General features: G+C 41.7%; 1 protein-coding gene across 8 annotated transcripts in view; it reads left to right on the top strand.

Moving 5' to 3' along the window:
- Positions 1–23649, top strand: part of AGBL4 (AGBL carboxypeptidase 4) — a 1501444-nt gene that overhangs the window by 1409482 nt on the left and 68313 nt on the right. For all 8 annotated transcript variants that reach the window (NR_136623.2, XM_017002595.3, NM_001323575.2 and 5 more), the window contains one exon: positions 23488–23640. Coding sequence is in view for 7 of the 8 variants with exons in the window: in XM_017002595.3 (XP_016858084.1) it covers positions 23488–23640 (153 nt within the window). In the remaining variant the exon portion in view is untranslated. The remainder of the gene's footprint in view (positions 1–23487; positions 23641–23649) is intronic.

Here is a 23649-nt window from a genome sequence, read left to right as displayed (position 1 = left end):
TGATCAGCCTCAATACTACTGGGTCCTATTCAAGTTAGTTAGGATTAATGAGTTAGATGCAATCAAATCACAGACCCTTGGAGCCAGAAGGAAAGTGAGAGATTCTTGCTCAGCCTCTTCATTTTACAAATGAGAAAACTTATGCTAGAAGGAAAATGACTTCCCCAAGGTCATTGGTGATTTGGTGGCAGAGATTCATTTGGCATTTATTACCTTTTTTTTCCTTAGCATCTTCCATTTCTGAACAAGGTGCTTCTGGGTGAATGTGTATTTTAGTTGATGCCAACAGTTCTGTGTGCAGCAGAAGAATAAGAAATAAACCTCAATTCTTTGACTCACCCTTGTTTCTCTGTCAACAAAGTGGGTTTCTACCAGTTTTCTTTTCATCAGAGGGTGACCTTGGAAATCTAAACCTTTGACACCTGGTTTTTCCTCTTGTGCCTTATGCTTTCCAACTCTTTCTCTAATTATTTCTTATGTATTTAGTAGTTAAAATTAAAATGCCCACTAACACAGCCATTTATCTCATGGCCTTAACTCATAATTATTGCACAACTGGAGGCAACCTTGAGAATGGGAAAAATGAAGAATACATTTCTGCACGAAACTGTGCTGTATTATTGTGGTTAGCTTTCGCTGTGAATACAACCCCAATATCTTGGTAGGTTACCACAGCAAACATTTATTTCATGTCCATGCTCTATAAGGGCTGTAAGTGAGCCAGCCACAGCTCTGCTGGCTGTGCTCAGCTGTATGTATCCCTCATCTAGGGCCCAGGCTAAAGGTGTCACCCCTATCTGGGACCTGCTGTTTTATGGCAGAGAACAGGAACACAATCTCATTTAAAGCTTCCACACAGAGATGGCAAATATCATGACTGCTCACATTCCGTTAGCCAAAGCGTGTCCTCAAGCCAAGGCCAAAGTCAGTGAGATGGTGGGTATATATACTCTTCTTAGATTCTTAGGCAAACAAAAATGACAATAGGAGATTTCTTATTACAGGGAGGGAAGAATAGTTAGGAACAATGATCTAATCAACCAAAATTACTTTATTGCTGAATCAGAATATGAGTTTAGGGAAATCATTTGCCCTCGTTGGACCCCAGTTTCTGATTGTTTAAAATGAGAAACTTTGCCTCTTTAGGGAAGCAAATTAATATTCTGAAAAAATTAGATATATCTAAGTTCAAATTCCAGTTGCACCACAGACTAGCTGTGTGATCTTAGGTAAGTTATTTAACCTCTCTCATTTCTTCATTTTTCTTCAAAAATTCAAACTATAGTTTTAAAAAACACACATACCTCTTAAAGTGTCTCATAATCTCTCTTTTTTTTTTGAGGCGGAGTATTGCTCTCTCGCCCAGGCTGGAGTCCAATGGTGCAATCTCGGTTCACTGCAACCTCCGCCTCCTTAGTTCAAGAAATTCTCCTGCCTCAGCCTCCCGAGTAGCTGGGACTACAGGTGCCCACCACCTTGCCTGCTTAATTTTTGTATTTTTAGTAGAGATGGGGTTTTGCCACGTTGGTCAGGCTGGTCTTGAACTCCTGACCTCAGGTGATCCGCCCGCCTTGGCCTCCCAAAGTGCTGGGATTACAGGCGTGAGCCATCGTGCCTGGCCCTCATTTTGTTTTTAACCCTAGAAATATCTTTTAGGGGAAAAAAAAGTCTCTTGTGAGAAAACATTTTTTAAAGATGTAATTCATTTAAGTTCTTTTAAACTTAAGAAAAACTGAATTCAACACCTCTTTTAATACAAATATTTATAGTGTATTTCTGTTTTTTAAAAGCACTTTTATTTAGCCATCTATTCTGCCAACCAGCTATACTAAAATCTGTCTGTAGGTGCAAGATATTGTTAATGGTCATTGTTTCTGGGCTGTAGGATTTCAAGAGATTTGTTTAACTTTGATCTTTGTACTGAGACAATGTCCAGGCCTTGGCTGTAAGACTGTAGAAAGAAGCCTCCCTGCCTTTCTTGACCTTCATCTCTATAACTGCAATGGATTCTGAACCATTCATGTAGACAGCACTTCTTCAGGATGCCTTCTCTGCCCCAGCCATCCAGTTTTCCTTCCCCTGAACTTTCCAACCCCTTGTGCTGGTCTCTATCACTGCACTTACTGATCAATCACTCTGAATGGGAGTTGTTTGATTTCTGCCTGTATCCTCACCAAGGGTGTAAACTCCTCTGACGTAAGAATTGGGCTTATTAATTTCTTTGATACCAGCACCTAGCGTAAGATCTGGAACATGGTAGGTACTTAGTAAATATTTGTTGAATGAATTAATAAATGTGGTTATATTCTGTCCAACCAGGCAGTTGATTCCCACAAAGTATTGAGCACACTCTGGCAGCAGGCCCCTGGCCGCACTGGCAGTTAGAAAAGCCAGTGACTGCTCCTCAGTACTGCCTGTGCAGGTTTGCATTATATGCAGCTCCCACTTCCTCCCTCTCCTCCACTTCCTAGGGCCAGAAGAGCTCCTTGTGTCTGAGCCTAGCTGTTTATGTTCCTTTTCTCATTATGAAATGTGGCAGGATTTGAACTTTAAAAATAAATGGATTGATTTTTATCTTGAGTTTTTGTTTGTTTGTTTCAGACTAGGGAGCTTTAAAAATCTTATTTTCTTAAAACCCATAGGGATAGTCTCACACAGATCCGAAGCGGCACACAAAGTGCTTATATATAGTGTTGCCTGGTGGTTAAAGGCATATGCTTTGCAGTCACATAGATTTATTTTAAATCCTTTCTCTCTCTTACTCAGCTGTGTGATCTTGGGCAAGTGAGGTAGCCCCTCTGAAACTTGATCTTTAAAATGAGGATAATGGCCAAAACTCTGGCTTATGTGAAAATTAAATGAGATGCCCGACATTCTCATTCTATGGTAAGAATTGCTGAGTTCTAACAGCTAGCCGGGTACTATTTTTAAAAGTCCTTTATTTGTATTAACTCAGTTCTCACCACTGCAAAGTAGATATTATTATCCCCATTTTAAGGATGAAGAAAAAAATAAAAGTAATTGTCCCTGCAGTCCTACAGGCAGCTCTTGTACCCAGGGAGTGTACTGGGTCCTGACATCTCTCTGCCCTCAGGGCAAGATCAGCATTGGCTCAGGCCATGACCCTCCCCGAAGAGTCTTTCTCCCTCCACTTACTCTTTCCTGCTCTCCATACTCCCTGCCTGGGAAGTCAGGCCATCTGACAGGAAAATACCTTTCTCTCCCACCCTTCATTGAAGCACAGAGGTGTGGGCCTCTGCCAGGAAGCCTCAAGCCTGCTTCTAATCCATTTGTCAGGCTGCCAGAGGGCTGGGCGGCCTATCCGTTTTTCACAAACAGATATCAGGGCAGCTGACAGAGCTGGGCAGGCTTAGAAATGGCTTTAGCTGTGAGCAGAATCTCAATGAAGGCTCTGGCCCAGCCTGTAGTGGGTGTTAATGACCCTAGAAGGCCCTGCCCTGGCAGTCAGGGAGGAGAATAAATATTACTGGCTCAGGACCCAGCTGCCAGCCCCTGCCCTTCTGTATTTTGATGGTTTTTTGTCCTCAACCATATTGAATGCTGTTCAGTTGTATTTGATGCCCCCCTTCTTCCAGGCTGTGTGTGTGTGGAAGGAGGAGGGAGAGACTCCTCATTCATCAGAAGCTGGTTTCCTGAGGTGCAGGAGACAGGGAGTGTGGGAAGAGGGAGAGTGCAGGAGGAAAATTACAAGGAATCTGTGATTCCACTGGGAAAGTAAAAGTTAGAGGGAAATGAAGGAAGCTTGGAAAGTGAAAGAAAATACATAGAATATCTTAGGCACTGAATATCAGACCTTTCCATCTAAATGTGCATAATGACAAGGAAGATGGAACATAGCAATTCTGGAGGTTTTCAGGGGAGGGGACAAAGTGGCCCCTTAACAACATTTATTTAAATATCATCTTTTATCTTCAGAATTTATACAAATTATTTGAATCTTACATTGTAAAACAGGTTTCAGTCATCCATTTCTTCATTCTCACCTTTAGGGATGCACCCACTGCCCTACTTCCTCAATGCCCCCCACCAACCTGGCAGTGATTCTGTGGTATGACTGTAGTCTCTACTGTCTAGTGCCTGAAAAATGCATCCTAACCAGTAGCCCAGTGTGGGTAGCTGGGATAATTCATACTGGCATGCAGCAAGCCCCGGTCATGTGTTAGGCACTGAGCACTGGGGATGCAGAGTTAGACACAGCTTCCATCCTCAGGCAGCTCACTGTCCAATGGGAGAGACAAAGCCAATATTGGATTATTGTGGTACAACGTAGTCAGGCTACAGCAGCAGCAGCAGCTTCTCCACTAGGCACGTGCTCTTTTTATTTTTTATTGTTTTTACATTATCTCTAATCCAGACACAATTCTGGAGCAGATATTATCAGGTTTATTTCAGAGATGAAGAAACCAAGTCTTAGAGGGTGAATGCTTGCCCCAAATGATGCAGCTAGTAAGTGGGGGAACAGGGTTCAAGTCCAGTTCTCTTTTATTTCAAGGTCTGCGTTCTTCCTATTCCCATCCTATGGGCTCTTATAATAAAGAAGAGGGTGACCTCGGAGGACAGAAAATGAACCAAATCTAGGACAATGGTCAGGAAAGGCTTCTGAAAGGAAGCGACGCCAGTATTGAGTCTTAAAGGATAAATAGGAGTTGGCCAGACATCCGCATGCAGTGGGGAGAGAATTTTAGGTATGGAGAAGATCATGAAATAAACATGAAGTAATGAAAATGGCAACCAAGCATGGTGGCTCATGTCTGTAATCCCAGCACTTTGGGAGGCTGAGGTGGGAGGATCTCTTGAGGCTAGGAGTTCAAGACCAGCCTAGGCAACATAGCAATACCCTATCTGTACAAAAAATACAAAAATTATCTGGGTGCGGTGGCATGTGCCTATAGGTCCAAGCTACTTATAAGGCTGAGGTGGGAGGATTGTTTGAGCCCAGGAGGTCAAGGCTGCAGTGAGCTGTGATGGTTCCCCTGCACTCCAGCCTTGGCAAGAGAGTGAGACCATGTGTCTCAAAACAAAAAGATGGCATGACTTTCTTGGGAATTAAAGAGAGTCCTATGACTGGAGTGAAAAACATTATAGAAAAGTGGTAAGACATAAAGCTAGAGAAGTGGGTAGGGCCAGATCATGAAGGCTTTTTGTGGTAGAGCATTATCCTTCAGGCTTCAGGAGAGTAACAGAAGTTTGTTAAGTGGAGGAGTGGCATGCTCAGATTTGTGCTTCGGAAATTTATTTCCAGCCATGCATAGAGGATGGATTGAATGAGAAGAGATTAGAGGCTCTCTCAGCATGTATCCATCCATCTCCATTTGTCTCCGTCATTTATCCACATCTTGGCCTCCTCTGTCTTGTCTGCCTGTGTCTGCCTGGTTATCAGCCTCTATCTGGCCTATTTATCTGATCCCTTGGCTTCCCTACGTAACCCTAGGCAAGTCACTTCACCACACTGAGCCAAGGGTCCCTCATCAATAAAATGAGGATCATAACGCCAACCTCAAAAGGTTAGGTTTGGGATTAAGTGTTATATTGCATGCAAATCTTTTTATATATTACAAAGTACCATACAAATGTGAAGGATTATTGTTATCTAGCTATTGATCTCTCGGGTGTTTGGTTTTTTTTCAACAAACTTTCTTTTAGTGCTGACTCTAGGCTGGATATCATGCTATATCTGGTGAAAGAGGGAGTTTATAATAAATCAGAAACAATACCAGCCTTCTAGAGGATCAGAGTGTAGCAGAAGTACACAAAAAGCTAGAATAGAAGCCTCTGTTATGTGTTTCTAACTCTGTTATGTGTTTCTAACTTACTGCTTATATGTCCAGTTGCCTGTCTTGTCCATCCATCCATCTATCCATCCGTCCATCCATCCATCTATCCATCCATCCATCCATCCATCCATCCACTTCTCTGACTCATTAGCTGTTCTTGTCTGTATTCACAGGCAGTTACTGACATAGAGCCATTCAAGTTACCATAATCCTCACATGCAATCTCCTCTCCACCATAGACCACCCCTCACCATGCAATTTTTGACAGCCCATGTCTTTAAAATAAGAGAGGAAAAATAAGTTGTGAAAAGAACACGTCTCTAGATGGCTTAGAAGATCCCTTCTTCTTTACAGTTTTATTACCTTCTTCACCTTTCTCATGTGCTCCCAGGCCTCTTCTGAAGACTTGAATCTCACATAGCTCTGACACTGCCACACTCCATAAGCCAAGAAAACTAGATTGAAAGCTTTCAACCTAGAATTAGAGTCAATTTCACTGAATTCTATAGGCTCTGTGACTAACCTGGGACTGCCAGATAGTCCCCAGGCAGTTCCAATCATTGGCATCTTGAACAAAGATTGTAAAGAGTTTGTGATGACTTTGTCCTCTGAGCCCCTTGTCTTCTGAAATGCCCCTTCAGAAGCAGTATTTTATCGTGGGGAATAAGTCCTGTTCTGCCACTTAGAAGCTTTGTGACTTCAATCAAGTTATTCAACCACTCTGAGTTTCAATGTCAGAATCAGCAAAATGAGGATAATACCTCCTACTAAAGTTGTCATAAGGATTAAATGATGTCCAATGTGAGCTGTTTTACACAGGACCTGATTTTTTGTATGCTTGATGGATTGACTCGGAGTCAGGACTTAGATTATTTTTCCTTAACACCCTGTTTTGTGGTTTTGTATGCAAGTGTGAGTTTGTGTGTATAAAAGTAGATGTGTTTGTGTAAGCATAGTTGTATATGGATATATGCTTTACATTTGAATCCACTGTTTATGATGGCTAAGATACTAGAATGGTGCCGTTCAACAGACTTTCTCTTTTTTTCTGGGGGTGGGGGGATGGAGTCTTGCACTTGTCACCCAGGCTGGAGTGCAATGGCGCAATCTCAGCTCACCACAACCTCTGCTTCCTGGATTCAAGCGATTCTCCTGCCTCAGCCTCCTGAGGAGCTGGGATTACAGGCGCACACCACCACACCTGGCTAATTTTTGTATATTTAGTAGAAATGGGATTTCATCATGATGGGCAGGATGGTTTTGAACTCCTGAACTCAGGTGATCCGCCCGCCTCAGCCTCCCAAAGTGCTGGGATTACAGGAGTGAACTACCGCACCTGGCCTGCTCAATAGACTTTCTATGATGGTGTTAGATTTCCTTTGCGTTGTCTATCACAGTGGCTGTTGAGCACCTACAATGTGGCTAGTAGGACAAAGGAACTATATTTTTTAAGTTAATTTTAATTAATTTAAATTTAAGTAGTCACAAATGACTACTTATACAGCACAGCCCTAGAATATGCCCTCATTTTTAATTACACCTGAAATAATTATTATGGTATGAAAAAGATTACTGAACACCTCCTATGTTTCAGGCACTTGGACATGCACTAGCTCATTTAACCCATGTCAGCTTGGTGACATGAGTGATCTCATTGTAACCTTCTTTTGACTGGTAAAGAAACTGAGAATTGGAGACATAAAGTAACTCCTTTAAAGTCACACAGACAGTTCAGTGTTTGAGCCCAGATCTCTAATCTTAGACCCCTTCTCTGCATGACCCCTCCTCGTGCCATCTTACAGCAGTGCACATATAGTTTCCAGGGTGTATGCATAGTTTCCTCTTGTTATTCATAGATCACTCTGGCTGCAGGATGGAAAATGGATTTAGGTGATGGGGAAAGGAAGGAGGTATTTTGAGTAGAAACAGAGAGGCCAGCTGGGAGCCTACTGCAGTAGTCCAGAACCACAACAGCAAATGCCAAGAGCTAAACCACCAACTGGCCTTCTTGCTGGGAGCCTCACAGACTATGGAGTGTCAGATCTGGAATCCCTTTGGAGATCATGTAGTGCATCCCTTTGGAGATCCTTTTTTGAAGAATGATGAAACTGAGGAACAGAGGCAAGAAGGTGATTTCTCCAAAGTGTCAGAGTTGGCACAAGAGTTCCCATCTTCTACTATGATGTTTTTCCTGAATTCCAGACCATCATAGAAACCGAGACTTTATTATCACCAGCCTCTTTACCTCCATCTAAATCCTTCTTTCATTTTTAGAGACTGCCTCTGTTTTCCTAAAATGCCATGAAGTCAACTAAGAGACAGGAATTTTAGTTCTCTGTAAACAAATCCATTTTTACAAAGAATGAGCAAATCCTCCTCCAGAAGTTTGAGCATGTCCTCCAGAGAATACAGAAATTCATGCAAGGTGTCTTGGAAGTAGATATAAAAAGCTTATTCCATTTTTTAGAGAAGGAAAAAAAAAAAGCCCAAGCACAACTTTTCTGATGCCTGATAATATTCTTCTCTCATCTCTCATTTCCCCACAACTATTTTGTCTTAAGGCTCTGAAAGCCTGTGGGAAGTTGCTGTGTGATTTTTATCTCCATGATTAAAGTGTTACACTTTATTGAGTTCTTTACATCAGCAGCAAAATCTGCAATGCGGGGTTTTACGTAACACCTCATTTTCTTCTCACACCATTACTGTTATTAACCTGGTGGCAATAAACAGAAAATACAGCTTTGCTTATGATGTACTCTTTATTTTTGTTCCAATAGCAAGAAGAAGAAAAAAAGAGAAAGAACCCAGAGAATAGGGAAGAATTTTTTACCCGTTGTATCACTTTGAGGTCTGCCTTTCTCTCTCCCTGTTAAACAATAGCATTTCTCAGAGAAGATAAAGGATGGAGAGAGTCTCTGCTCAAAGATAATATCTTCTCCATCATTAGTTCATCCATCTATTCATTCAATAAGGATTTCCTTAGCACCTACTATGTGCCAGACACTGCGCTAGATGTTGGACCTATTAAAATGAAGACAATGTGATTTCAGGTCCTGAGGAGTGCTTGGTCCAGTGGGAGAAATAGAGACACAAAGCAATAATAATGAAACAGTGAAATAGGTACAATAAAAAAGAAGGGTTGAGTGACAATAGACGTGAAGAAGGACATGGCGTAGGGAAGCCTTTAGAGGAAGGGATGCTTATATTGGGTCCTGGAGGAAGGCTGGGCAGGGCAAGGTGTTCCTGCCTGAGGGAACAAAATGAGCAAAGCCTTGGAGGGCACAGAGGAGCATCACACAGTCTGGAAGCTCTCAATTTGGCATGGAGAAAGCATAGATTGCCTATCAGCAGAGAGTAGGAAATGAGGTTGGGGACGAAGGCAGATTCTTGAGGACCTGATATTCACATGTGGAAAATATATTCCTTGCCTACCAATAATTCATGCTCTTGGCTCCCCATGACAAACCCAAAGATAAAGGAATCAAGACAGAGTGATAGAGTGGTAAGAACTTGTATTATGGATAGATCTAGATTTTATCCTTGGCTCTGACGCTTACTAGCTGTGTAAACTTAAGCAATGCATTCATCTGTAAAACAGGTACATTAAGAATGAGATAATGACTATAAACAAGTTGTGTAGGTTGTTGATAGTATTTCATGTGTCAAAGGAAAGGGGCTAGGAGAGCAAAACTCCAAACAATTCAAAGAGCCAGAAAAGACACAAATTCATTCTGTCTAATTTTGATGAAGGTTTTTATGTAGATATGGATGAAGGGGCTTGCATTGTTGTGGGACTTCCCTTCAATCCAAGACATAAAGCTTGTTTGTTACCCACACCTCCTTGTCCAACCCTTGCTTAACTCTCACAACCACTCCCTCACTCCTTGCTGCTTTCTGGCTAAGTGAAGCAGTTCATAAAAATCAAAAGTCCTCTCTTTGGAGGGAGTGAATGTCTATAGCAGAGCAATAGCTACAGAAAAGCCCGCCAGTATCCCATTTACATTGTAATAGAGGGCCTAAGTATTTGATTATGTGTATGTAAGTGTTTGAATTTTTTTTAAAAAAAAACCTTTGATTCTGTATCCTAACAAAAGTGTGCAATGCTTATACTTAACTTTTTTTTTTGGTAGACCTCCTCTGTAGTCACTTATGCTTAATTTATATTAATAAAGAGTTCTATTTATACGGAAAACACATGATTACATGGGGGAAACGTTCTTTTCATTCAAATAGCCATATTTAGAAAAAATCAACTTGTTTGGATCAAAATATCATAACCATAGCACATCTGATAGCATCTCACTCTAACTGGGAACACGTACCAAGGAGGCAAACATACAGCTCAAACTTATAAGATGGTGACATCTCCAATCTCAGTGGATGCCCCCCCTCAATCCAGAAACCTGGGAATCAGTCCAAACTTAGGTCCCATATTGCAAACTGTCAATCTTGCTTTGTAGTGGGTCTCATGTTTGGATGCTTCTTCACATCCTCCCAGGCCTTGCTTTGTGTTTTGTTTTGTTTTGTTTTGTTTTGTTTTGTTTTGAGATGAAGTCTCGCTCCGTAGCCCAGGCTGTAGTGCGGTGGTGCCAACTCGGCTCACTGCAACCTCCGTCTCCTGGGTTCAAGCAATTCTCGTGCCTCAGCCTCCCAGGTTGCTGAGATTACAGGCGTGCCACCATGCCCAGCTAATTTTTGGTTTTTGTTGTTGTTGTTGTTGTTGTTGTTTTGTTGTTTTTCTTAGTAGAGACAGTGTTTTGCCCAGGCTGGTCTCAAACTCCTGACCTCAGGTGATCCACCTACCTCGGTCTCCCAAAGTGCTGGGATTACAGGCATGAGCTACCGCGCTCAGTCCTAGCTAGCCCTTGCTTTAATTGAGGACCTTATCATTTTTAAATTAGTTCTCACTTGGATTATAACAAAAATGTTCTAACTAGTCTACCTGCCTTTGAGTCTTATGACCACTAATTCTCGTCACAGCCTCCAGAACAATCTTGCTAAAATGTAAATGTAATCCTGTTATAATTTCATAAAACACTTCTGTGGCTCTCTATTTCCGTTTTATAGGGAAAATTCATGACTCCTTAGTGACTTACAAGGCCTTCCATGTAAGGGTCTTTGGAAGCCTCTCTAGTCTGTTTCCTCACCCCCCTCTGTGTCCCCTCCCCTGCTCTTCAACTGTGCTAAACACTTTAATTTATTTTATTTTGAAACGGAGTCTTGCTCTGTTGCGAGGCTGGAGTGCTGTGGCGCAATCTCGGCTCACTGCATTCTTTGACTCCCTGGTTCAAGCAATTCTCCTGCCTCAGCCTTCCCAGTAGCTGGGATTACAGGCATGCACTACCACACTCAGCTAATTTTTGTATTTTTAGTAGAGCCAGGGTTTCACCATGTTGACCAGGATTGTCTCGACCTCCTGACCTCATGATCCACCTGCCTCAGCTTCCCAAAGAGCTGGGATTACAGGCATGAGCCACTGCGCTGGGCCCCAATGTATTGTTCCCTCAATGGGCTAGTGGTTTTAGGCTTGGGGCTTTTGCCCACAGGCTCCCTCTGCCTACACTGTCTTTCTCTCCACTGGAGGGTCCTTTCCTTATTCCCTTGGTGAACACCTTCTCATCTGTCAAGACCTTGCTTAATAGTCACCTCCTCTGTAAAGTCTTTCCTGACCACCACTAATTGAATGGTTCCTTCAGCCATACTTTCACCCAGTCTTCACTTATGTCTCTTACAGCACCTGAAAGGCATATGTACATTTAAACTGTTCCCTTGTCTGCCTTCCCTACTATAAAGTGAAGAAAGAGAGAGGTGGGAAAGGGGGAACAGAAGAAGAAAAGGAATGAAGAGGGAGAAGAGAAAAGGGGCAAGATGAGAGAGTTAGAGAAGAAAGAGGAAGAAAGAATGAAGGGAGAGATGCCAAGTGCCTGCCTGTACCTTTCTTCTTCCTGTTTTCGCTCTTCCAGCTGCCTACACCAAATAAAGCAGATAGGAACCATTTTATTTTTCCCTAGGATAAAGTACATAATTTCAGCATGAATGTTGGCACCCTCGAACACTTCTTTGAAAAGTAGTGATGTGCACTCTGCCAAGTGGAAAGACTGCATTAGCGTAGGGGAATGATTGAACTGCTGTCTCGCAGCAGGCTCTCCCCACAGGGCCATGCCAAGGAAAATGACCTTGCACTTGTGTCTTGAAGGAGATAAGGTAGAAAGACTGACAAGATCTGTCCTCAATTAGAGGCCAAATGAAAGAGAAAACAACAACAACAGGAATACTGCAAAGCAGGAAGATGAGATTTTGGAAGGATATAAGACTCAGGATATAATGGTGGAAAGAGCCCTGAGAAGTCACTGAATCCGTCCTCTAAGTGGGGAAATTGAAGTCCAGAGAGAGAGAAGGACTTCTCCAGGGTCACGTAGCAGCTTAGTAGAGAGCCAAGATGAGTTTCCTAGGAAGAAAAATCCTGGCATAGACCAAGGACTCCTGTCCCTGCAGCTGAGTGGTTAGACATGTATCATTACCTCTATGAGCCAGCTAGCAATCTCCTGAGATAGGTGTCCCCAAGCATTCAGGCCACAACTATTTACTGAGTTCCTAAATATGTGCCTGAGGGTGCCCTAGTTTTATCAGCCTTTGATTTATAAGGAAGCAACATTAACTTTTAATTATCAAATTAAAATGTTCCTCAGCTCTCACAGCCTTAAAAATTGTATCTCAGTCCTCTTCTTAGTTGAGAGCTCCCTGATTTTTTTGTCTTGTTTTCCTGCTCAGACTGGGGCTTTCTGAGGGAAGGCCTGGCTTTTCTACTTGTATCTGTGTGCACTTTCAATACAGAACTGAGCACATAGGATGACTTCCCAAGTTGAGGATCAAGCAGAGGTTTTGGAGTGGTGAGATGTAAGCTCGAATCCCATCTCAACTCATAATTTGTTGTGAGATCTTGATAAGCCAGGCTCTGAGCTTCTTCTGAGAAACTAAGATCATAATCCTATCTACTTCCATGGAGTGTTGAAAGAATCAAATGATTGGTGTGAAAATGGTTTATAACTGTATAAATGTGCAAGATGGTGGTTATTGTCAATAGATTTCATATTGAACAAGGAAGAAATGTACATATATGTAAGCTTGTCCCCAAGCTCCTCTTAACTCTATGCTACCATAGTACTCGCACTTCTTCACATTCCTCATTGCACAGAAAGTTACTTGTAAAATGTCTTTCTTCTTCACAAGGTTTTGAGCTCCAGGAGGTCCATATCCCCAGTGCCAAGCACAGCACCTACACATAGTGTCATTGTGTGATTCAAAAGAATATATTGACAGTGTATAAGCTGTCACACATTTTGGTAGGCACAAAGCCAGTTACTTCATTTACCTCTATGACAGTGTGTGAATTTGTGATTGTTATCTTCAAATTTCAAGTGATTAAACTGAAACTCAGGGAGGGAAAGTGAATTCTACAGGTCTTAAAGCTCAACCATGGTGAAACTAACACTTGAAGCCAAGTCTACCAGACCCCCAAACCACACTACTCTCATGAGTACCCTTTTATCACCATTATCATTATCATAGTCATTATGGCTATCACCAGTCACTGAAGGGAGCAGGAGGCAGAGGTCAGGAGTTCATCATTTGCCCTGGGAAGGTCTATTATAAACCCAAACCTCCTGGGCTGAGCCTCTCATCTCTCTCTGTTTCCAGGCATAGACGTGGAGAAAGGGAATGGAAGCAAAGGAAGGCTCCTTCCTGCCAGGCCAGACCTGGCTCTTCCTGGATCTCTAGGAGATGCAGAAATGCCTCCATTTATGTGCAAGTAGAGTCAGATTGTAAGAGACTAATTAGAAGTAGAAAAAAAATACGTTTTTATTTCTCATCTTGCTGCTTCTGATGCATTTTCTCCACACCTAAGCATTAGTCTCAGAATAATCCTGAAATATATTCTGCTGAGGTCAAGGAGGCCACAAATACAGGGCTGGGCTATTCTGAATAGAGCTTAGCCCCAGGTCAGAAACACTTGGTTTTGAATCTAAGATCTACCACTTGCAAGCTCTTTGCCTTGGTTTCCTTATATGATGTTATTACCCTTATAGGATTGTTATAATTACAGAACCATACTTAAGAAGTACTGCATAAATATCAACAGCTTTTATGGTGTCATGTTTAAGTGCATGGATTGCAGAGCCAGACTGCTTGGGCTCTGCCAGTTACCACTGTGTGATCTCGGGTTCCCACACAACCACCCTATTCCTGAGTGTTCTTGTTTGTAAATGATGTTTCTATCTGATAAGGTTGTGGGAGGATTAATGAGTGCCTGCCCCTGGCATAAAGTAAGGGCTATGTTGTTATTATTATCCTCCCCCATAGCTCTTCCAGATAGGATCTAGGCCCTGGGAACTTCCCACACCCCTATACCCCTTTCTCTGAGTCTAAGATAGCTGGCCCATTCATTTATTTATTCATTTAGTCACTTGGCAATTGTTGCCTGAGTACTTACTGTGTGTCAGGCCCTATGATATACCTTGTGGATATGGAAGTGAACCAGATGCAGTTCTAGGCTTCGAAGGATTCACAGGCCACACCCTCCTTCTTAATTTTTTTTCTGTTGTTGTTCATGGTTTTCATAAAACCACACTTTCCTTGTATTCTTTCACCTTCTTTCTTCTCTGACCACTCCACGGTCTCCTTTCCTTCTCTTTTAGCTAAACTTTCAACTTTAGAGGCCTCCAGACTCAGTCCCAGGACCTCCTCTCGGTCCACGCTTTCTCCCAGAGGTGTTACACACACCTCAATGATAATGATTCCTATATTTATACCTTCAGTCCAGTCCTCTCCCCCAGGGTTCTTCTTTCATGAATTCAACTGCCTACTTGACACTTCCTGTCTTGCATTCAGTGGTCATTTCAAACTGTGAAGAGCCTATCAGAACTCTCAATTTCCTAACCACTATCCCAGCTGGGCTCCAACCCAGTCTTCTCCATTTCTGTACATGAAACCACCATCTACTTAGTGTTCAAGTCATAAACCTTTGATTCTTCCCACATGTAATCTATGTGCAGGTTCTATGGAGATGTGGCCACAATATTTATTAAATATGCCTTCTCACCTCTACCACCACCTCTCTTACTTAAGCTGTAGTTAAGCACTGCATAATGACATTTCAGCATCAGACCACATGTACAATGGTGGTCCCATAAGATTATGATGAACTTGAAAAATTCCTGTCACCTGGTGACATCACAGCTGTTGTAAGGCCTAGGGGAATGCATTACTCATTCACGTGTTTGTAGTGATGCTGGGGTAAACCAACCTGCTGTGCTGCCAGTCATATACAAAGGTGGAAATGCAATTATGTATAATACATAACACTTAATAATAATACGTAACTATGTTACTGGTTTATGTATTTTCTATACTATACTTTTTATTGTTATTTTAGAGTGTACTTCTACTTAAAACAAAAAGTTAACTCTAAAAAGTCTCAACAAGTCCTTCAGGAAGTGTTCCACGAGAAGGGATTGTTATCATAGGAGATGACAGCTTCATGCATGTTATTGTCCCTGAAGACCTTCCAGTGTGATAAGATGTGGAGGTGGAAGACAGCGATGTTGATGATCTTGATCCTATGTAGCTCTCGGCTCATGTTTGTGTTTGTGCCTTAGTTTTCAACAAAAAATGTTTAAAAATTAAAAAAACCCATAATTTATAACTAGAAAAAAAAGCTTATGGAGTAATAAAGGAAGAAAATATTTTTGTGCAGCTGTATAATGTGTTTGTGTTTTAAGCTAAGTGTTATTACAAGAGTCAAAAAGTTTAAAAAATTAAAAGTTTATAAAGTAAAAAAGTCCCAGTAAGCTAAGGTTGATTTATTATTGAAGAACTAAAATGTTTTAAAATAAATTTAATGAGGCCAGGCGTGGTGGCTGACACCTGTAATCCCAGTGAGCCGAGATTGTGCCAATGCACTGCAACCTCCACCTCCAGGTTCAGGTGATTCTCCTGCCTCAGCCTCCTGAGTAGCTAAGATTACAGGTGTGCACCATTATGCCCAGCTAATTTTCATGTTTTCAGTAGAGACAGGCGTTCCCCATGTAGGTCAGGCTGGTCTTGAATTCCTGACCTCAATTGATCCGCCTGCCTTGGCCTCCTAAAGTGCCGGGATTACAGGTGTGAGCCACCATGCCTGGCCTCATTAAATTTATTTTAAAACAGTCATATGCTGTACAGGTTTGTAACCTAAGAGCCATAGGCTATAACCATATACCCTAGGTGTGTAGTAGGCTATAGCATCTAGGTTAGTGTAAGTACACTCTATGATGGTCACACAATGATGAAATAACCTAGTGATGCATTTCTCAGAATTTATCTCCATCAGTAAGTGTTGCATGACTGTACTGTGATTGCTTAGGGGAACTGTCTCAACTGCCTCATTCATGCCCCCCTAAAATCCATTATCTACATGATAGGCAAGGTATGTTTTTCAGTATTCCCCTGTTAAAATGTCTTTCTACTGTACATAGGATAAACTCCAAATTCTAACCCTGGCCTTCAAGGCCCTGTGTGATCTGGACCCTGCAAACCTGTCCAGGCTTAGCTCCAGTGTTTGTCACAATCTGGCTACTGGCCTTCCCTTTGGTTTTTGAAAACAATACACTCATCCTTGCTTTAGGGCCTTTGTTTTGCCCAGGATTCTTTGGCTGACTTCTTTGAATGTCTGGTTTTTCTCCCTTTCTTTCTCTCTTTCTTTCTTTTTCTTTTTCTTCCTTCCTTCCTTCCTCCTTCCCTCCCTCCCTCTTTCTTTTTTTCTTTCTTTCTCCTTTCTTTTCTTTCCTTCCTTCCTTTCTTTTTCTCTCTTTCTCTTTCTTTCTCTCTCTTTCTTTCTCTTTCTTCCCTTCCTTCCTTCCACCCTTTCTTCCTTTTCTTTCTTTCCTTTTCTGTCTCCCCTCCCCTCCCCTCCCCTTCCCTCCTCTCTCCTCCCCTCCCCTCCTCTCCTCTCCCCTTTCCTTTCCCTCTCCTTCTCCCTGTTCTCTTCTGTTTGTACAGGAAAATCTTTATCTCCATTTCCTTTTTGAAAGACAATTTTGCCAGGAAGAGTATTCTTGCTTGACAGGTGCATGCCACCACACCTGGCTGAATGGCTGGTTCTTATCATCTTTTGAGGCTTAATTCAAATGTCAGAGGCCTTCCCTGATCACACTACCTAAAGTAGACTTTCCCCCCATCCACTGTGTTATTCACCATCATGTTATTTATCCTAGTGCATTTCTAGCATGTTTCACAATCTGCAATTACCTTGCTTATCTGATGTTTATAGTTTGTAAACCCCACCTGGGTGTTAGCTACTTAAAGGCAGGAATCTTATCTGTTTTGTTCACCCTGAAGTCCTATGATAGCACCAGGAACATAGTAGGTTCACAGTAGATATTTGCCAGATGAATGGATGAATGAATAAGCTAGATGATAAATACCTTAACAGAAGGATATTTTTTTTAAATCTGTGAGATTCCAGGGAAGGGAGCTGCTATCCCTGAGAGCGTCCAGGAAGACCTCTCTGTCAAGGGCCCATTTGGGATAAGCAGTAAAAGGTGAACAAGATGTTGCCAGAAGGTGAAAGGAAGAGGATAAGCATTCTCACCTGGAGGAATAGACACAAAAGCCCAGAGTACGAGAACACCAGTGTGCTTGGGAAGTTACGGCGGTTCTAGAAGGCCAGAGTGTAGGATGGAGAGAGGCAGGAGGTGAAGTGCCCGTGGCCCATCCCCTTGGTTCCTTGAGCTGGCTGTCTGGATTTCTTACGTGGTTGTTCCTTTCTTTGTCCCCTTGACTTATTATATCCCTTTTTTTGTGGCAGGAATTTCTGCCCAGCCATGTTCAGGACATATCTGAGGAAGAAAGCCTTCACTGTGCCACTTCAGAAATATATATATGTATATGCTATGGGCTGGGCACAGTGACTTACACCTATAAACCCAGCACTTTGGGAGCCTGAGGCAGGAGAATTGCTTGAGCCCAGGAGTTCCAGACTATACTGGGCAATATAGCAAACCTTGTCTCTACAAAAAAAATTTTTTAAATAAATATACAGTATGAATGATAAAGAACCTTTGCATTATTTTGTTTATTTGATTTGCTTGGTTGATATTAAAGAAAGAGTCCTCAATTTTTCTGAAAATTTTTCCTTCCTGCCTTAGAACACAGAAATAGCTTTCATTCCTTAAAAAACAGACAGGGAGACATTTTAGTTAATAATGAAAAGAATAGATTTGGGGCTTTTTTGTCTCAGTCCCAGGGGAAAACATCTTCCTGGGGTAAATCTGAAGGAGGAATGTGTCTGGGAGTTCTCCAACACTTCTTGCTCCTCCCACACACATACCTCAATGCCTTTTTGAGAGTCTAAGGACAATAATCTCAGTCACAGATCCCCACAATCCTTCAGCTCAGAGCTGAAGGAACCTGCATGGGGCTTGCCTTACTATAATCAAGTAATTGCTTTGCTAGGCTGCAAGCTCCTGTGAGGACAGCAGGGTACAGGACATGGAGAGTTTATAGCCAGAGGCCTGGGTTTCAGTCCCGACTCTGCCACATCTTGCTGCGTAATGCTGGGCAAGTTACTTGAGCTTTCTGAGCTTCCATTTCCTCCTCTGTAAAACAGAAATAATAACAAAGCTCACCCTGCTCAACTTGCGGTTATTCCTGCCTAAGCTTCAGTTTCTTCCCCATGGCGTCTCCAAACCTGAGATAAAACTCCTCTGTCCTTCCTAGATTGGATTGCCCTGGATGGTCCTTCCTTCACTGAACTGAATTTGTGATAAACTCCGAAGTGCTGCCGAAATGTGAAGGATACGGCCCCACATCAGAGCACCAAGCTCAGGTTTTGGCCTGTGCCAAGTGAGATGAAGCAGGGTAGCAGCTCAGAATAGAGAAAGAAAACCCATTTCCTCCCTGGTGTCTAGGTGGAAGCAAACTCCACACTAAATTATGTTGCAAATATGCCCCAAAGTAGTTTTAATTTTATTGGCACTGATTTTAATTTACTCTTTAGGCCCCTGATTGCAAGAGGAGCTGCTGGCTGCTGGCAAGGGGACAGCCCTTCATCATTCTGTTTTAATTAAGGTCCTTAAGTTTGGAAGGAAAGAACGGAGATGCTCTCCCCATCCCCCACCTTCTATTCTCATTCCCAAATTGTAATTCAGGGCCCTACATTTGTGACACACACCCCTTGGCCCGGCACAGCCACAGAAAAGTACCTGGTTTTACTGTTGGAACAACTTAAGATGCATTTGTTTACTCATTAATTCACTTATCCTTCCTTCAGTTCATTTTCTTATTCATTCCTTTGTAAACCTTTAATGATGACCTACTATATACCAGGCCGTGTTCTGGTCCTGTGGATTGAAAAAAATCAGCAATATAAGATCCTTGCCCTCAAAGAGCTCACATTCTGGAGGGAAATGAAAATAAAAGATTATCATCTCATGTAGTAAGTGCCATGAGAGAGATCTGTACCTTGAATTATAAGAGCGCAGAGGAGGCTGTTAACTCAGCCTGAGGGATAAAATAAGGCTTTTTGAATTGAGATTTTGTACTAGTCAAGATGAATGATATTAGCTTCTATAATAAACAATCCCCAAATTTCAGTGGCTTAATTCAGTGAAGATTCACTTCTCTCTTACATCAGTCTGATGCGGAGCAGGTGACTCTCCTGGCTGTTGTCCTCTAAGTGTTGAGTCGAGGATATAGGCTTCTTTCTTCTTAGGATATCATCATTTTTTTACGTGTAGCTACCCATGCAGAAGGGCAAGAGAGAATGTGGGTGATTGTGTACGAGGAGTTTTATGGGCAGGTCTGGAAGTTATTGTCATTGCCCACATTCCATTTGATCCCAACCAAATGGCAAGGGGGATAGAAATGTCAGTGGGGAAGAGATGCACAATTCAATAAATGGTGTTGAAACAGTGAAATTTAACCCTTACCTCACATTCCATGACCATATAAATTGAAACTGAAACAAAACATTGAAAACTAAACAACAAAATAATAAAATGGAAGCAACAGTAAAATAATTCAGCTAGGAAACCACAAAAGAAAAGATGGATAAACTGTGTCAAAAATCAGAAATTTAAAAATTTCTACATGAAAAATACATGAACAGAAGTAAAATAGAAAGACAAATGACAAAAGTATCTTTATATTACACATAAAGGTTAATTTCTATAATACATAGCTTCTCTAAGTCAATAAGAAATAAAGCCCAACAATCCGATTTTTTAAATGGTCAAAGGAAATGAACAGAGTTCTTAGAAAAGAGAATGCAAATTACTTTTATTGATTTATTTTATTATTTATTTATTTATTTATTGAGATGGAGTTTCACTCTTGTTGCCCAGGCCAGAGTGCAATGGTGCGATCTCAGCTCACTGCAACATCTGCGCCCAGGGTTCAAGTAATTCTCCTGCCTCAGCCTCCCGAGTAGCTAGGATTACAGGTGCCCACCACCACAGCTAATTTTTTTGTATTTTTAGTAGAGACGGTGTTTCACCATGTTGGCTAGGCTGGTCTTGAACTCCTTACCTCAGGTGATCCACCCACCTCAGCCTCCCAAAGTGCTGGGATTACAGGCGGGAGCCACCATGCCCGGCTGCAAATCATCTTTAAACATATGAAAAGATTCTTAACTATACAGTAAAAGATAATTATACAGTACTAAGAGAAATTCAGATTAAAACTAATCTTACATATTGCTTTTCACCCATCAAATTGGCAAATATCAAAAAGTTTTATTCCACCTATATTGTCAAGGTAATAGGCTAGGGGTGTTCTGCCTTTCTAAGGTCAGTCTGTCAATATAAATCAGAAATGCAAATGCACATAGGATCTGGGAATTTCACTTCTAGGAATTTATTATTTTATTTTATTTATTTATTTATTTTTTTGAGACGGAGTCTCGCACTGTCGCCCAGGCTGGAGTGCAATGGCGTGATCTCGGCTCACTGCACCCTCCACCTCCTGGGTTCAAGCGGGTCTCCTGCCTCAGCCTCCTGAGTAGCTGGGATTATAGGCACCCACCACCCTGCCCAGCTAATTTTTTGTATTTTTAGTAGAGATGGGGTTTCACTGTGTTGGCCAGGATGGTCTCGAACTCCTGACTTCGTGATCTGCCTGCCTTTGCCTCCCAAAGTGCTGGGATTACAGGCATGAGCCACTGCACCCAGCCAGGAATTTATTTTACATACAATTGTGTATGTGTGAAATAATATATATACAAATTTCATCACTAAGACATTCTTTGTAACAAGAAAAGATTGGAAATACATTAAATGTTTATCAATAAGTAACTAGTTAGTTTATATATGGCTGTCACAAAGAATGAGGTAACTTTTTATTTATTAAGAAAGAATCGCCTCCAAGATATATTCAGAGAACAGCAGATCTGAATGGTGTGTTTATGGTGCTACCACTTGTGTGTTTGGAGCAGGGGGTTTGGGTGTGAGAGGAAATATTTACTTGTATATGCACAAACTGTCTCTGGGAAGATATATGCAAGCCTGATAGCATTAGCTGTCTCTGGGGAGCAAAACTGGGTGACTGGTAGAAGGGAGATTTTTTTACTATAAATTATTTTATATCATTTGACTTTCAGATTATATGATCAATCAACATAATTCAGGTGCTGGTTCTTTAAAGTGAAGTCACATCAGCTGCCAGGTGTCAGGATGGGACAGTGGAAGCCACACCTATATGGTTATCAGAAAAATGTAACAAAATTACACTTGTACGCCCATAAATTTATATGAATAAGTTTTTTAAATTTAATTTTTTTCAAAAAAATTTAAAAGTAAAAGAAAAGCTAGGTTCTAATTCTTGCTTCTTCACTAACTTGCTGGCCAACCTTAAGCAAGCAACCTCCCCACTCAGAGCAGGTCTGAGAAAGGTCAGAGAAACTGGTTTCCAAGGGCCTCTCTAGCTCTGACATCGAGAGATATAAGCTGTAGCTTTCCTTACACATTTCTTAAATCATCTTTCTACCTCCTCCTTTCCTGTGCAGCTCATCAAAAGCTCACAGGAAAAGACAGACAATTGAAGAAAATAAAATTGTGAAGATGACTTTTATAGGGCTCCTGTTGAATCATTGTGTATTCCACCTCCAAAGCTGAAAATGATGAGTTTAATATCACACAGAGCAGTGCATCTTGTATCTCCCAAAAGACAGCTTTTGCTACCCAGAGAACTGGGAGCTTGGCAAGACATAATTTTTCACTCCAACTCTGAGGTAAATGAAATGACAGTCATTGAGCCCACATTCTAGAAGCAACATGGTTTTCATTTGGTTTTAACTTCATTTAAAAGCATCCCAAGGAGGGAGAATCCTTCTAAATGTGCACTTTTCTTCTTTCCCAGGACTATGTACTAGAAAGAGGATGGAGAGGTGGCTAGATTTTGCCTTGGCTGTTTCTAGTGTTGGCCATTGATGACAATAAGTTAATTGTGCAAGGGGGCAGGAGGCCTGAGTGTCAGTCCCCGTTATTCTGTGAGCTTGGTCAAGTCCCCTCCCCATGCGAGTCTTCCCTTATTCTCAGAAAGGGTTAATGGATATAAGCTGGGCTGATATATAAGAAGGGAAGATTGGATTTGAGGGCAATTGAAGATCTAATGGTCTAAAAATCACCCCACCCCTGACACCCTCTGTTTCAGTCAGTCCATTACAGTATGTGGAGCAATCTCTCTGGGATTGTTTCTTCAATCATTCTGCATGTAGTTACTGAGCATCCTTTACTTACAGGCACTGAGCTCTTTATAGACAATCCTCCTACCTTCAGGGAAGGCTAACAAATAATACCATAAGAACCAAGAAAGTGCCTTAAATATGTGTAAGTAAAGAGCAGAGGTAGACTGGTCAATGCCATCTTTACAGACTGCAAAGGCATTTTCCTTCATGCATTATTTATATGCTGTTGTGGGGTAGACCTGGCATCATGACACAAGGCTAACTCAAAGAGTTAACTAAGACTCTATATGTAAAGTTCCAAGAATGCTGTTGGGCATGCATTATATATACAGTAAGACAGTAATTATTATTTTTTATTTATATTACATCATCAAGAAATATAGTAATTATTATTGCTGTGTTTGATTCCCGATATAATGCTCTGAGGTTTGAATTAAAATACTCGTTTTTCAGATAAGAAAGCTGAGGCTCAAAGTGGGGACATGATTTACACCAAGCTTCCCAGCTAGAAATGGCCAAGTTGGGGCAAAACTGCAACCAGGCCCAAAGTAAATACAATTGTGTTACCTGGAAGGTATTTCTCATTAATCAGAGAAATAAATTCCACGAATGTCTAGTCATGAATGTGTTAGCTGTTCTGAGTAAGTAACATCATGACTTAACCCAAGCTAATAAATTTCACTTTTTCTGAAGACCTCTTAAAAGGGATGCTAATAGTAGTGCTTTCAGACCCTGAGGGAAAACCATGTTAAAAGTGAGGAGGAATTGGTCGTCACCTGTCTTAAACCCTCCCCTCACATTGCAAATGGCTGCTAAATCTGCTGACACACAGGGTCAGCTTGATGTGTGTGTGTGTGTGGGGGGGGGTGGGTGGGTGTGTGTGGGGGGTGTGTGTGTGTAGTGTAGTGTCTGGTCCCTTATACACAAGCTCTACAGCCCAGACTTCTCATTTGTTATCCTTTCTCTCAACAGAAAACAAGCCTGGAGTTTTATATTGACATCCATGCCCACTCCACCATGATGAATGGCTTCATGTATGGCAACATCTTTGAGGATGAGGAACGGTTCCAGAGGCAGGCCATTTTTCCCAAGCTCCTCTGCCAGAATGCTGAGGACTTCTCCTATGTAAGCCAG

This window comes from Homo sapiens, chromosome 1 (genome assembly GCF_000001405.40).
Source record: "Homo sapiens chromosome 1, GRCh38.p14 Primary Assembly".
Lineage (NCBI taxonomy): Eukaryota > Metazoa > Chordata > Mammalia > Primates > Hominidae > Homo > Homo sapiens.
The sequence above is the reverse complement of the archived record's forward strand: the minus strand, read 5'-3'. Positions and strand labels throughout refer to the sequence as shown.